A 12,526-nucleotide genomic window follows, 5' to 3' on the forward strand; every position below is an offset into this window, starting at 1 on the left:
AGGATGCCTAGAGACCTGGTAAAGTATCGTTTCCGGGTGTGTCAGAGGAGATTGACATTTGAGTCAGTGGACTGGGAGAGCAAGACCCACGTTCCGTGTGGGTGGGCACCATCCAATCAGCTTCCAGTGCAGCAAAAACAAAGCAGATGGAAGAAAGTGAGATAACGTGGCTTACTAGGTCTTCTAGCTTTCATTTTTCTCCTGTGCTGGATGCTTTTCACAAAGGAGGTTTACATATTTTCAAGTGTACGTATTTTCAGACTCCAGGTTCTTCAGCCTTTGGATTCTTGGACTCACACCAGTGGTTTCCAGGTGCTCTCAGGCCTTCAGCCACATACTGAAGGCTGCATTGTTGGCTTCCCTGCTTTTAAGGCTTTGGGACTCAGATTGAGCCACTACTGGCTTCTTCCCCAGCTTGCAGACGGCGTATCCTGGGACTTCGCCTTGTGATCGTGTGAGCCCATTCTCACTACTAAACTCCCTTTTATGTAAACATATATCCTATTAGTTCTGTCACTCTGGAGAACCCTAATACAATCATATTTACAATCATCTGATAACAGAGACCACTTCTGTTTTTGATATAAACAAAACTTCTTTGCAAGGTTCTAATACACTAGGTTTTTATTTTGGAATCACTACTGTATAAATTTAAAGAAGGCTGTGCATTGTTTGGTTTAGAATTTTATCAAGTTGTCTGCTATTTTTGAAAACTGCATCAGTTGTGGTAATGCTGCCCACATATTTGATTTGTCAATACAGTGCTCCTCTCTCAGGCTGCATTTGTAGCTGTTGCATTTATGGTGATTCCATGCATAGGTGAAAGCCTGTAAATGCTTCATTAGATCTTCTGGTGTAATCAGGCCTGAGCATCAACATACTGAAATACATGTCATTAATATTATCAGTTACTTTCCTTTTATTTATCATTAATATTATAGTTAAAGCTTTTTAACTTCTCATTTATTTTTTGGATTAAGGATTATAAAGAAAATATTACAAAATGTTTTCATGAAAAAGATTATATTAGGTGTGACAAAGATAAGAAATGTTGAGAAAGAATTATCTTAGACCATTCTAGGCCAGAACTTTTTGTAAGATAATTTCAAAACTTCCTTCTAGAAAGGATTTTCGATTCCTGATACAATGTTTGTGCATCTTTCTGTTGCCTCTAAATGAGATTAAGAATTTATAAGGCCTAAGATTACCCAATTTACTGGCTGAATAGCCTAAAGATTGATTTTTCTTATATTTAACCAAATGCTTAAATCGCCTCAATCAAGAGTGATATGGTTTGGCTGTGTCCCCACCCAAATCTCATGTTGAACTGTATTTTGCATAACCCCCATGTGTCATGGGAGGGACCCAGTGGGAGGAAATTGAATCATGGAGACAGTTACCTCCATACTGTTCTCATGATATTTAGTGAGTTCTCATGAGATCCAATGGTTTTAGAAGGGGCTTCCCCCGCCTTTGCTCTGCATTTCTCCTTGCTGCTGCCATGTGAAGAAGGACATGTTTACTTCCTGTTCCACCATGATTGTAAGTTTCCTGAGGCCTCCCAGTCCTGTGGAGCTGTGAGTCAATTAAACCTCTTTCCTTTGTAAATTATCCATTCTCAGGTATGTCTTTATTAGCAGTGAGAACAGACTAGTACAAGGGGTGATTTTGTCCCCCAAGGGAAATTTGACCATATCTGGAAATAGTTTTGGTTGTCACAACTGTTGGGTGCTACTGGCATTTCATGGCTGGATGCTAAGGAATCTGTTAATATATTAGGTTGGTGCACAAGTAATTGCGGTTTTTGCCAAATGGCAAAAACCGCAATTACTTGTGCACCAACCTAATACTATAATGCACCAGATGCCCACCCCACCCCCACAAAACAAAGAATTATCTAGTACAAAATTACCCAGTACAAAATGTCAAAATGCCAAGGCTAAAAGTTTCTACTTTAGACAGTCTCTTTTTCGGTAATATGTTCATCCAAAAAGGGAATTTTTGAAATAGTCCACCCTGAGACCTCTCCCCTTAGTGCTGGCTTGAAAAAAATTTGACACAAGCTTACACATAATGTAGTTGAAAAGCTGTTTTTTCCCCTTTTATACTATTTAAAGTAACTAGCCCTGAGGAAGCTAAATAAAAAGACAAGATAAAATATGTTATTGAGTTGTAAAGTTTCTAGTTATTTCTATGGACTTAACTTATTTTTTAATGTACAGTGAGATATAAGAAATCATCACCAAATATTTATAAATTATGCTAGGGCTGTAAGAAAGTTAATAAATAGGAAATTATACTAAGCCATGTTAAAAAAGAAAATAAGGCTTAGGGTGAGATAGAAATAAAGAGGTAAATATTTAGAAAATGTTGAGCAGGAGAAATTTTTTAAATTTCTAACCAAGTGCCTATGAGAGAATTTGAAAATAATGCCAATATTCTAAGTTTTTCATTGGCAATAACAATGTTAAAAGGCTTTAAAAGAAAAATTTGGCACCCTCTTCTGATTACATTTCAATTTAAGAGTTCTACAGTTCATATGGAACTAAAATAGAACTTAAATAGCCAAAGCAGTCCTAAGCATAAGAACAAGCTGGAGGCATCACATTACCTTACCTCAATTTTTTTTTTTTTTTTTTTTGAGACGGAGTCTCACTCTGTCACCCAGGCTGGAGTGCAGTGGCGCAATATTGGTGTACTGCAAGCTCCGCCTCCCAGGTTCACACCAATCATTCTCCTGCCTCAGCCTCCCGAGTAGCTGGGACTATAGGTCCCCGCCACCACACCTGGCTCATTTTTTGCATTTTTAGTAGAGACAGGGTTTCACCGTGTTAGCCAGGATGGTCTCGATCTCCTGACCTTGTGATCCACCTGTCTCGGCCTCCCAAAGTGCTGGGATTATAGGCATGAGCCACTGCGCCCGGCCCTTACCTCAAATTATGCTACAAAGCTACAGTGACTGAAACAGCATGGTACTGGGATGAAAATAGACACACATTTCAATAGAACAGAAGAAGGAACCCAGAAATAGAGATACATATTTATAGCCAAATAATCTTTGACAAAGCCAATAAAAGCCCCCCAACATGGAGGAAGGACATCCTTTTCAATAAATGATGCTGGGTAAATTGGCTATCTATATGCAGAAGAATGAAGCTGGATACCGATCTGTCACCACATACAAAAAATTACTCAAGATGGATTTAAGACTTAAATATAAGACCTGAAACTATACAAATACTAGAAGAAAATCTAGGGAAAATTCTTGTGGACATTGGTCTAGGCAAATAATTCGTGACTAAGACCTCAAAAGCATGAGCAACAACAAAAAATAGGCAATTGGGACTTAAATGAAAAAGCTCCCTAACAACAAAATACATAATCAACAGAGTGAACAGACAACCTACAGAATGGGAGAAAATATTTACAAACTGTATGTCCCACAGGGGACTAATAATCCCTAATTTACAGGGAACTCAATAACAACAACAACAACAAACAAATAACCTCATTATAAAGCAAGCAAATGACATAAATAGACATTTTTCAAAGGAAGATATGCAAATGGTCATCAAACATATGAAAAAGTGATAAACATCACTAATCATCAGAGAAATGAAAACTAGAACCGCAATGAGAAATCATCTTACCTCAGTCAGAATGGCTGTTATTTAAAAGGTCCAAATGTAACAGATGATGGTGAGACTGCAGAGAAAAAGAAACACTTAGACACTGTTGGTGGAAATATAAATTAGTATAACCTCTACGGAAAACCTCTATGGAGGGTTCACAAATAACTAAAAATTTAACTACCGTTTCACCTAACAATCCCACTACTGCATATAACGCCAAAGGAAAAGAAATTATTATATTAAAAAAACTGTATTCATATGTTTATTGCAGCACTATTTACAATAAAAAAGATATGGAATCAACCCAAGTGTCCATCAACAGATGAATAAAGAGAATGTGTTGTACGCACGTGCATGTGCACACGCACACACACACACACACACACACCAGAATACTACTCAGCCATAAAAAAGAATGAAATCATGTATTTTGCAGCAACTGGATGGAACTGGAGGTTATTATCTCATGTGAAACACTTCAGAAATAATAAGTCAAATACTGCATGTGCTCACTTAAAGTGGAAGCTAAATAATGTTTACACATGGACGTAGAGGATGGAATAATAGATATTGCAGACTTTCAAGGGAGGCAGAGGGAGGAGGTGAGGGATGAGAAATTGCTGAATGGATATAATGCACATTATTCAGGTGATGGGTATACTAAAAGTCCAGATTTCACTACTATGCAATATACCCATCTAACTCTATGTACCTGCAAAAATTAAAAATTAAAACATTAAAAACTAAAAAATTGCACTTGTACCCCTTAAATTTATACAAATAATAGGTTATTAGTTATCCAAAATAAGAGAAAGCTCAAAAATAAGCCCAAGTATTTATGGCCAATTGATTTTCCACAAAGGCACCAGTAACACACAAGGGGGAAAGAACAGTCTTTTCAATAAATCATGCTGGGAATACTAGAAGTCCACATGAAGAAGAATGAAATTGAACCCTTTTCTATACAAAGCCCAACTCAAAATGGACACAAGACTTAAACCTAAGACCTGAAATTCTAAAGCTTGTAGAAGAAAACATAGGGCAAAACTGCACAACATTGTTCTGGCAATGATTTCTTGGCTAGGACTTGAAAAGCAGTTAACAATAAACAAATAGTTTGATGGCCTCAAACTAATAACCTTCTGCCCAGAAAAGTAAACAGAATGAAGAGACCACCCACAACTTAGGAGAAAATATTTGCAAACCATATGTCTGATAAGGGGCTAATATCCAAAATATATAAGGAACTCAACCAATGTAATATATCAAGAAAACAAATAACAAAACTTAAAATTGGAGAACTATCTGAACAGACATTTATCAAAAGAAGAGATAAGAATAGGTTAGAGATACATGAAAAAGTGCTCAACATCTCTAATTGTCAAGGAAATGCAAATTAAAACCACAGTATGGCCTCATACTTGTTTAAAGTGGCTATTATCAAAAGATTAATGATAGCACATGTTGGTGAGGATGTGGATAAAAGGAAACTCTTGTGCTCTTTTAGTGGAAATGTCAAGTAACCACAATCATTTAGGAAAATAGTATGGAGGTTTCTCAAAAAACTAAAAATAGAATTACCGTATGTGCCAGCAATCCCACTTCTGTATGTGTATCCAATGTAATTGAAGTCCAAATGTAAAAAAGATGTCTGTATTCCCATGTTCATTGTGGTATTATTCTCAGAAGTCAAGTTATGGAAACAACCTAAGTGTCCATCAGTGGATGAATGGAGGAATAAAAAAATATGGTAAATATAAACAATGGAATACTATACAGCCTTTAAAAATAAAGTAATTCTGTCATCTGCAACAATATGGATGGAACTGGAAGACATTATGCTAGGTGAAATATGACAGACACAGAAAGACAAATACTGCATGATCTCACTTCTATATGGAATGTAAAATTGTCCATCTCGTAGAAACAGATAATAGAAAGGTTACCAGAGGCTTGGGTTAGGAAGAGGGATGGGGAAAGGAAAGGTGTTGATGAAAGTATACAACATTTCAGTTAGACTTGAGAGATTAATTTTAGTGACCTTTTGCACTGCATTGTGATCACAGTTAATAACAGTAAATTGTATACTTCAAAACTGCCAAAAAGAACACATTTTTAACCATCCCATCAGAAAAAAAAAAGATGAATTTTGTAGGGTGATGGATATGTTAAGTAGCTTGAGTCTTTCTGTAATGTATATACATAGATCAAAACATCACATTTTAACCCATAAACATACACAATTATTATTCATCAAGTATAAATAAAGCTAAAAAATACATAAAATAATGCATTTTCCCAAATTTTAAATATCCAGGCTAAAGTGTCCTTCTTAGTGCTAAGCAAAACCAAATTTCTTTCTACCAACTGGGATTTATGGGGAGGCCAGCCTCAACACAAGCCTTCCAAAGAGCGGAGAGTAAAGAAGGAGAAAGACGGCAGCCTTTTTCTGGGGTTATGAAAATATTCATATGCTGTTCAGCTATAAAAAAATAAAGTTAGTCAAGTTTAAAAATAAATATGGGAGCAGCAATATATAAATTGGAAAATTGCTTAGACATTCTTATGAGATGAAAATTACCTTCCTAGAATTTTAAGATTAGCTTACTCAGACATATAAACATTCCCTGCTAATTGCAAATGCACATATTATAATAGCAAGTTCCCAAGTTGCACACTAAATTTCTTTGAAATCTTCAATGATTTCATATGTATATGTTGACATCTACTGGACCATAATTCTAGTTTTGTTCCTTTTTTTCAATTGTGAGAGACACGTAATGTAGTTCAAATAATAAAGCCTCTCAGTTAACAGGGAGCACACACACAAACACACATACAAACACATACATGAATCTGTTATCATGTCCTAAATTCCTCATCAATCATTGTGAAGCGTGTGTGTTCTTATATCCGATTTAAAGTAGCACAGGAGATAGGTACAAATCTAGAATAATCTCTTGGGTTTCAAATTCAGAATTGTCATACTAAATCATGTGACATGTTTCCACTTCTATATCCCATATCAAAGTTATGGAGAGATTCATGATACCTCAATCCAGGCAATTTTGGCATTTACCTTCAGAAAAGTTGAGGAGATATTTAGCAAGCTAAAGTGGTTAAAGATATGATAATTGAATGCAATGCATGATCTTGAATTCAGTCCTGAATTGGAAAAAATGCTAAAAATTATAATGTTGAGGCAATTTGTAAAATTTGAACATGGACTCTACATTTTATAATAATATTGTATCAATTTCAAATTTCCTGACATTGATCATTGTGGTGTTGTAATGCAATATAATCTCCTAGATATTAGGACATTCATAATGAAGATTTCAGGAATAAAGCATCTGCATATTTGCAATTTACCCTTAAATGGTTAGCAATAATAGTAATAACTTAATTACCATTATTATTTTTCCTGTTGTTATTATTGTTGTTATGTACTATAGTAATAATAGTATATGCAGTGGATGCTGTGGTGTCTTCTGGGTCAAGGCTGTCTTCTACCACCTGCTAAGAACATCAGCTGCCAACTCACACAGCTACATAACTCACTGGAAAATGTACTCAACTTTAGGGAAATGGCTTGTGCAAAATTAGATCCCTGCTCAGGAAACAACCCTTGGCCAATGACTGGTTAATGTAGTGATAAAAAATGTTCTGGCCTTCCTCCCTCAATTTATGACAATGCTGAAGTATCATCTAGCTTTAGAGCTCCTTATAAAATTGACTGAGGCTTCTGTTGCCATGGGATTATGGGTCACGTTACCTCTCTACCTAGTCCTTCCTTCCACAATTGCCTCACAGGAAAATCTTCCTAAGAGCATCTCCTTAAAGTATGCCTTAATAAATCTGCTCATAATTAACCTTGTAAGAGTCTGTTTCCTAGGAACTATCTCGAAGACAATTTGTACCAGGTGTGGTCCTTGGAAGCAAATGTTAAACAGGAATTTGAGGAATATGTTACCTGCTGGCCAGCAGGCGAAAAGATCCAGACACTGATAATAGGTAGAGTATGGTTACTTCCTGACATACGCTGGAGTGGTACATTTGTTAAAATATTCACCAATGATGGACATAAACGTGATACTGGTATAAAAGAACCCTCTGGCAGGTGAAATATCTCTGATGTTTAAGTGGTGTAAAGAAAAAATTCCATAAATATAGAATTGAATGGCTGCTGCTATGCATCAACTATTCCTGGAAGAGAGATAATATCAGTCTGAAAGAGATTAATCACCATTTCAAGGCAAAACCTGAAAGTCAGAGGATATCCTTGGAAGTATTTAATGAGACCTTAATCTGCTGCCCCCCAAAAATAGACAAAGCAGAGGAACAGGCTCTAAACTGAATTCTGTGAGTCATGGAGCTTCTGAGAGTGTAGACTTCTCAGCCTCAACAAGTGTCTTATGTCAAAGTCAGGGCCCTCGTAGAAATTATATGGGTTCTGGATGAACTTGAATATAGTTCCACTCCCCTATGTTAGAAATTACTGCACACCTTGTCACCCTTTAAGGGCATGAAAAAGCAATGAAAAGGAAATCTGCCTCTCTCATCAACCTCCCTTGTCACCTCTCTTCCTGGAAAGCACACAAGAACAAGGGTGAAATTCCAGTGTAACTTGTGTGGAGATGTGCTAAGCTTGATAGGTGCAGAGAAGAACTATATGTGGAAGCAGGTGGCTGGTATGTACTGGAAGGAGCAAGGATAATGCGTATGGAACTGGATGCTGAGGGTTCTAGATTAAAGGAGCAGAAAATAGAGTTGGTTAATGGACGATGTATAGATATGTAAGTTCTTTCTCATGATACAGGATTTTAACACCATAGCAAGGACTCCAAGTGAAGGCATTAACATGCTTTGGAGATGGCTCTTGGAATCTTGGGAAAAGTGAAGGACCACACTAAACAAAGTGAAAATACCTGAAATGCTGTGACAGACAGTGAGGCAGATGATTAAAAAGCTCAGAGAAGTGGACATGCTAGATGAATATCTTTAATGTTGGAAAACTTATAAGATGACCATGATTCAAAAGAAAGCCTGAAGTATCTTCAATTGACTAAAGTGATAAAGAATGTACTGGAAAAATAAACAAGGATATCACTGAGAAATTCAGTATTTGCCATCTTCTTTGGGCAGGGCTGATGGTAGAAGATTCTGTTACAGAACTCACTTCTCTGATAGCAATGATGAAGATAGGAATACAAAACATCAGAGGCAAGTTTGAGGTCCTCACCTGTTACAAGTGGGCACAATTATTGCAATAAATGTCAACATCAGAGTGGCTTCCAAGACAGCTAAGAAGATGTTTAATAAAATATGATAGTCCTAGTCTGAAGATAGATAGATAGCCCATGAGATTATTGGTAAATATATGCAATCGAAAGAAATCCAAAATGGATTATTAGGAGTCTGAGGGCAGTTGTCCATCCAAAAATTCACAGTCCTTTGTGACTTTTCTGGAGCTGAACCAATTCTCAAAATGATACTCACTGCTGAGGGAGATACTGTGTCCATATGTGAAGTAGTCCGTCCTGAAGCACCCTAATAAGTGTATTCATTAGCAATTTCCCCAGTCTTTCCCTAAGGTTAGCTGTTATCATGTAGTAAGGTAGTTATACATTGGGGAAAGGGGATGCCAAAATCTTTCAAGGATGATTGGATATAGGATAGTAGACAGGGACCCAAAGTGCCAAGATTGGACTAATCTGTATTAGTTATTTATTGCTGCCAATGAAATCACCAAAAACTCAATGACTTAAATCAATAATATTAATTTATCTTATGGTTTCTGTGGGTTAGGTATTCACAAGTAGCTCAGGTAGGTGGTTTGGCTCAGGGTTTACTATGAGGTTGCAGTTAAGAGGTTAGCTGGGGGTCACGTTATTTCAAGACATTACTGGATCTGGACAATTCACTTCTTAGTGGTGACTGTATTAGTCTATTCTGTCTGTTATAACAAAAAATCCCTAGACTAGATGGCTTAAATACCAAATTTCATTTCTCCCAGTCCTAGAAGCTAGGAAGTCTAAAATCAAGTCACCAGTAGATCCAGTCTGTTGAGGGCTGGCTTTCTGGCATGTAGAGAGCCACCTTTTTGCTGTGTCCTTACATAGCAGAGAGACAGAGAGAAAGAGAGACAGAGACAGAGACAGAGAGAGCATGAACAAGCTCTCTTGTGTGCCTCTTCTTCTAAGGGCACTCATCTCATCATGGGGGCTTAACCCTCATGATCTAATTGCTTCCCAAAGGCCCCACGTCCAAATATTATACTATTGGGAGTTATGGTTTCAACATATGAATTTTAGGGAGGGCGTACCCAAACATGGAGTCCATACAGTGACTAACTCACATGACTAGTAAGTTAGTGCTAAGTGTTGGTGGGAGGCCTCAAACATTTCCCTGGTGGATCTATTCCAGGACTGCTTAAATGACCTTAAAACATACTGGCTGGCTTTACTCAGAGAGGGGGATCCAAGTTGCCAAGGTGGAAGTGGCAATGTCTTTTGTGATTCAACCTCAGAAGACACACATCGTCACTTCCACCATATTTTATTTGTTAGATGCAATTCACTAAATTGAACCCCTATTCAAAGGAGAGAAATTAGGCTGTACTTTTTGAAGGGAAGAATGTCAAGTAGTATGTGGACATATTTAAAAACTGCCACAGCCCTTTTAGTATGGGGCACGGTGAGAGCTAGGTAATAAATGGAGTCCATAGACTCAATTGGTGGTCATTTTCCTGGTCTCAAAATATATAACTGAAATGAACTTACTTTGTAGTAGGGACACCCCTCATATTAGTTCCATGATTTGTGAAGTAAAATCTGTTTTATTGAGAGGGTGCCAAGTAGGCACCTATGATATAATCAACCTATCAGCCAATACAACCAATCAAAAATAATACCTCATCCCAGAAAAAATGGCAGAAATTAGTGGCACATTCAAATACAATTTAATTAACATAGCACATACAACAAGGAACGATTCATGAACTTAAGCAAGTAGGAAATTAAGTTGCAGCTCTGGGACTGGACATGGCATTTTTGCTAGAGAAAATTAGCATGGATTCTAATGTGTGTTATGTGGTTCCTGCTTCCAAAAATGCATTTTTACCATTCCTATCACAAAGGCAAATCAGAAACAGTTCATATTCAGTTGGGGCTGGAATGAATATATATTAACAATCTTGCCCCAGAGGTTGGGTTAACCAGAATTCCCTGGTTTAATTTAAGTAATGATACTTAAACTGAAGTGACTTGGAACATTTGAACATTGTGCAAATCATTGCATTAGTCTAATGTGTTAGGTATTATTTGCCCCCAGGTACCACAGATTCATCTCGAATACATCATTCCACTACCTTTTGTTATGACAGTAGTTTCTGGTTGATGATATCCATGATAGGAACATTGGGTTCCATGGTTATGTGATCATGGTGTACCTAATTTGCTGTACCATGGGTTCCTTGGTTAAAGGTTAAGTTATTTGATATATCATACCTGGAAATAATATACCTTATAAATCCTCATAGTAGTGATAGCTTAAGTCCTGCAGGTAGATAAAGTAAAACCATAGTTGTGGTGAAGGTCTTCATTCCCAGAGGGTATTTCCAACATAAGACACAATAAGAGTTTCATTGAACTTTTTGCTATGGCTCCTGTTTGAAGATTTTTGGCTCCTTCTGCTAAAAGAGCAGTGGGCAAAGAAGGTAGCCACCATACTGGCAAGGGTAATTACCCTGAAATTAGGAGGAGACAGGTTGCTGTTACAACAATACTTGTAGGAAATAATAAGTTGAGTGCTTAGGCGATTCACTGGAGATCTCTTGTGTTTCCATGCCCAATTTTAACTATAAAAGTGCAATAAGGATGGTCTGGGAATGGTGTAATAATGAGTGGTTCAAACCCGGTCCCCAATCCCCACCACCAGTAGATAGGGGTCTAGGTGATCAAATCAGGCAAGCCTTCTCATCCAGCGGAATTGCCTGTGAGGGTGAGGAAAATGTAGAACAAATAGTGGAAGGGGAAGACATGTATTAGTTATGGATTCAGGACCAACAATAACAGTGAAGGATGTAGTTTAGCCCACTAATCATCCTCTTATAAATTTATCCAGGAATAGTGACTATATGGACAGCTATACCTAGAAGGAGTCAATTTGAATTGAAAAACAAATGGATCTGTGCAGTACCAGTGTCAAAGGGTAGAGTCTGGTAGATGCCATTTGGTGCCCTACCAGAGCCAATTTCCTAGATTAGTACACCTCAGCTGCTGTGAATGTTGGCTCCCAATTAATGTCTTACACCTGCAAGCTTTGCTTGAGGATTGTTCTGGGCTGGTGGGAGCTCATCTTTCCTTTGAAAGGTTATGCCTCTCCATTACCTTCTCCCCTTTGTAAATAGCCAACGATTAACTGATATAAAGATACATAAAGCTGGCCTCCTTCCTTCAAGGCAGGCCACCCATTTGGTATGATTTATGTCCCAGAGATACCTCATCACTCCACTTCAGCAGATCTGGCTGAGCCAAGATTTCTAGGCAATACTGTATCCTTGATGGGTTGTTTCTTTTTCATTATCCTGCTTGTTTAACTTCTCTTACAGGTCTTTCCTCAAGAGCACACCTTCAGTAAAACACATACATCTGAGACCCTGCCTCAGCCTATGCTTCTGAGGAATGCAAACTAAGACCCTGATAGGCATTTAATATTTTTGCTTCTTGGTTTGTTTATTTTGTCAAAGCACATGAATGAATGAATAAATGAATTTGACATACCACTAAAAGAATGTAAAAAGAAACACAATGAATGCAAATATGACATAAAAACTGCTTTATTTTTAGCTGTAGAAAAATGCAAGTTGAAACAAGTCCATTAGGTAATATCTT

The 12,526-nt window shown here is 37.3% G+C and overlaps 1 long non-coding RNA gene across 1 annotated transcript in view; it reads left to right on the forward strand.

Moving 5' to 3' along the window:
• Nucleotides 1-12,526, forward strand: part of LOC105373153 (uncharacterized) — a 350,749-nt gene that overhangs the window by 313,429 nt on the left and 24,794 nt on the right. The gene's annotated exons all lie outside the window — the stretch shown is intronic.

Source organism: Homo sapiens, chromosome X (genome assembly GCF_000001405.40).
Source record: "Homo sapiens chromosome X, GRCh38.p14 Primary Assembly".
NCBI classification, from domain to species: domain Eukaryota; kingdom Metazoa; phylum Chordata; class Mammalia; order Primates; family Hominidae; genus Homo; species Homo sapiens.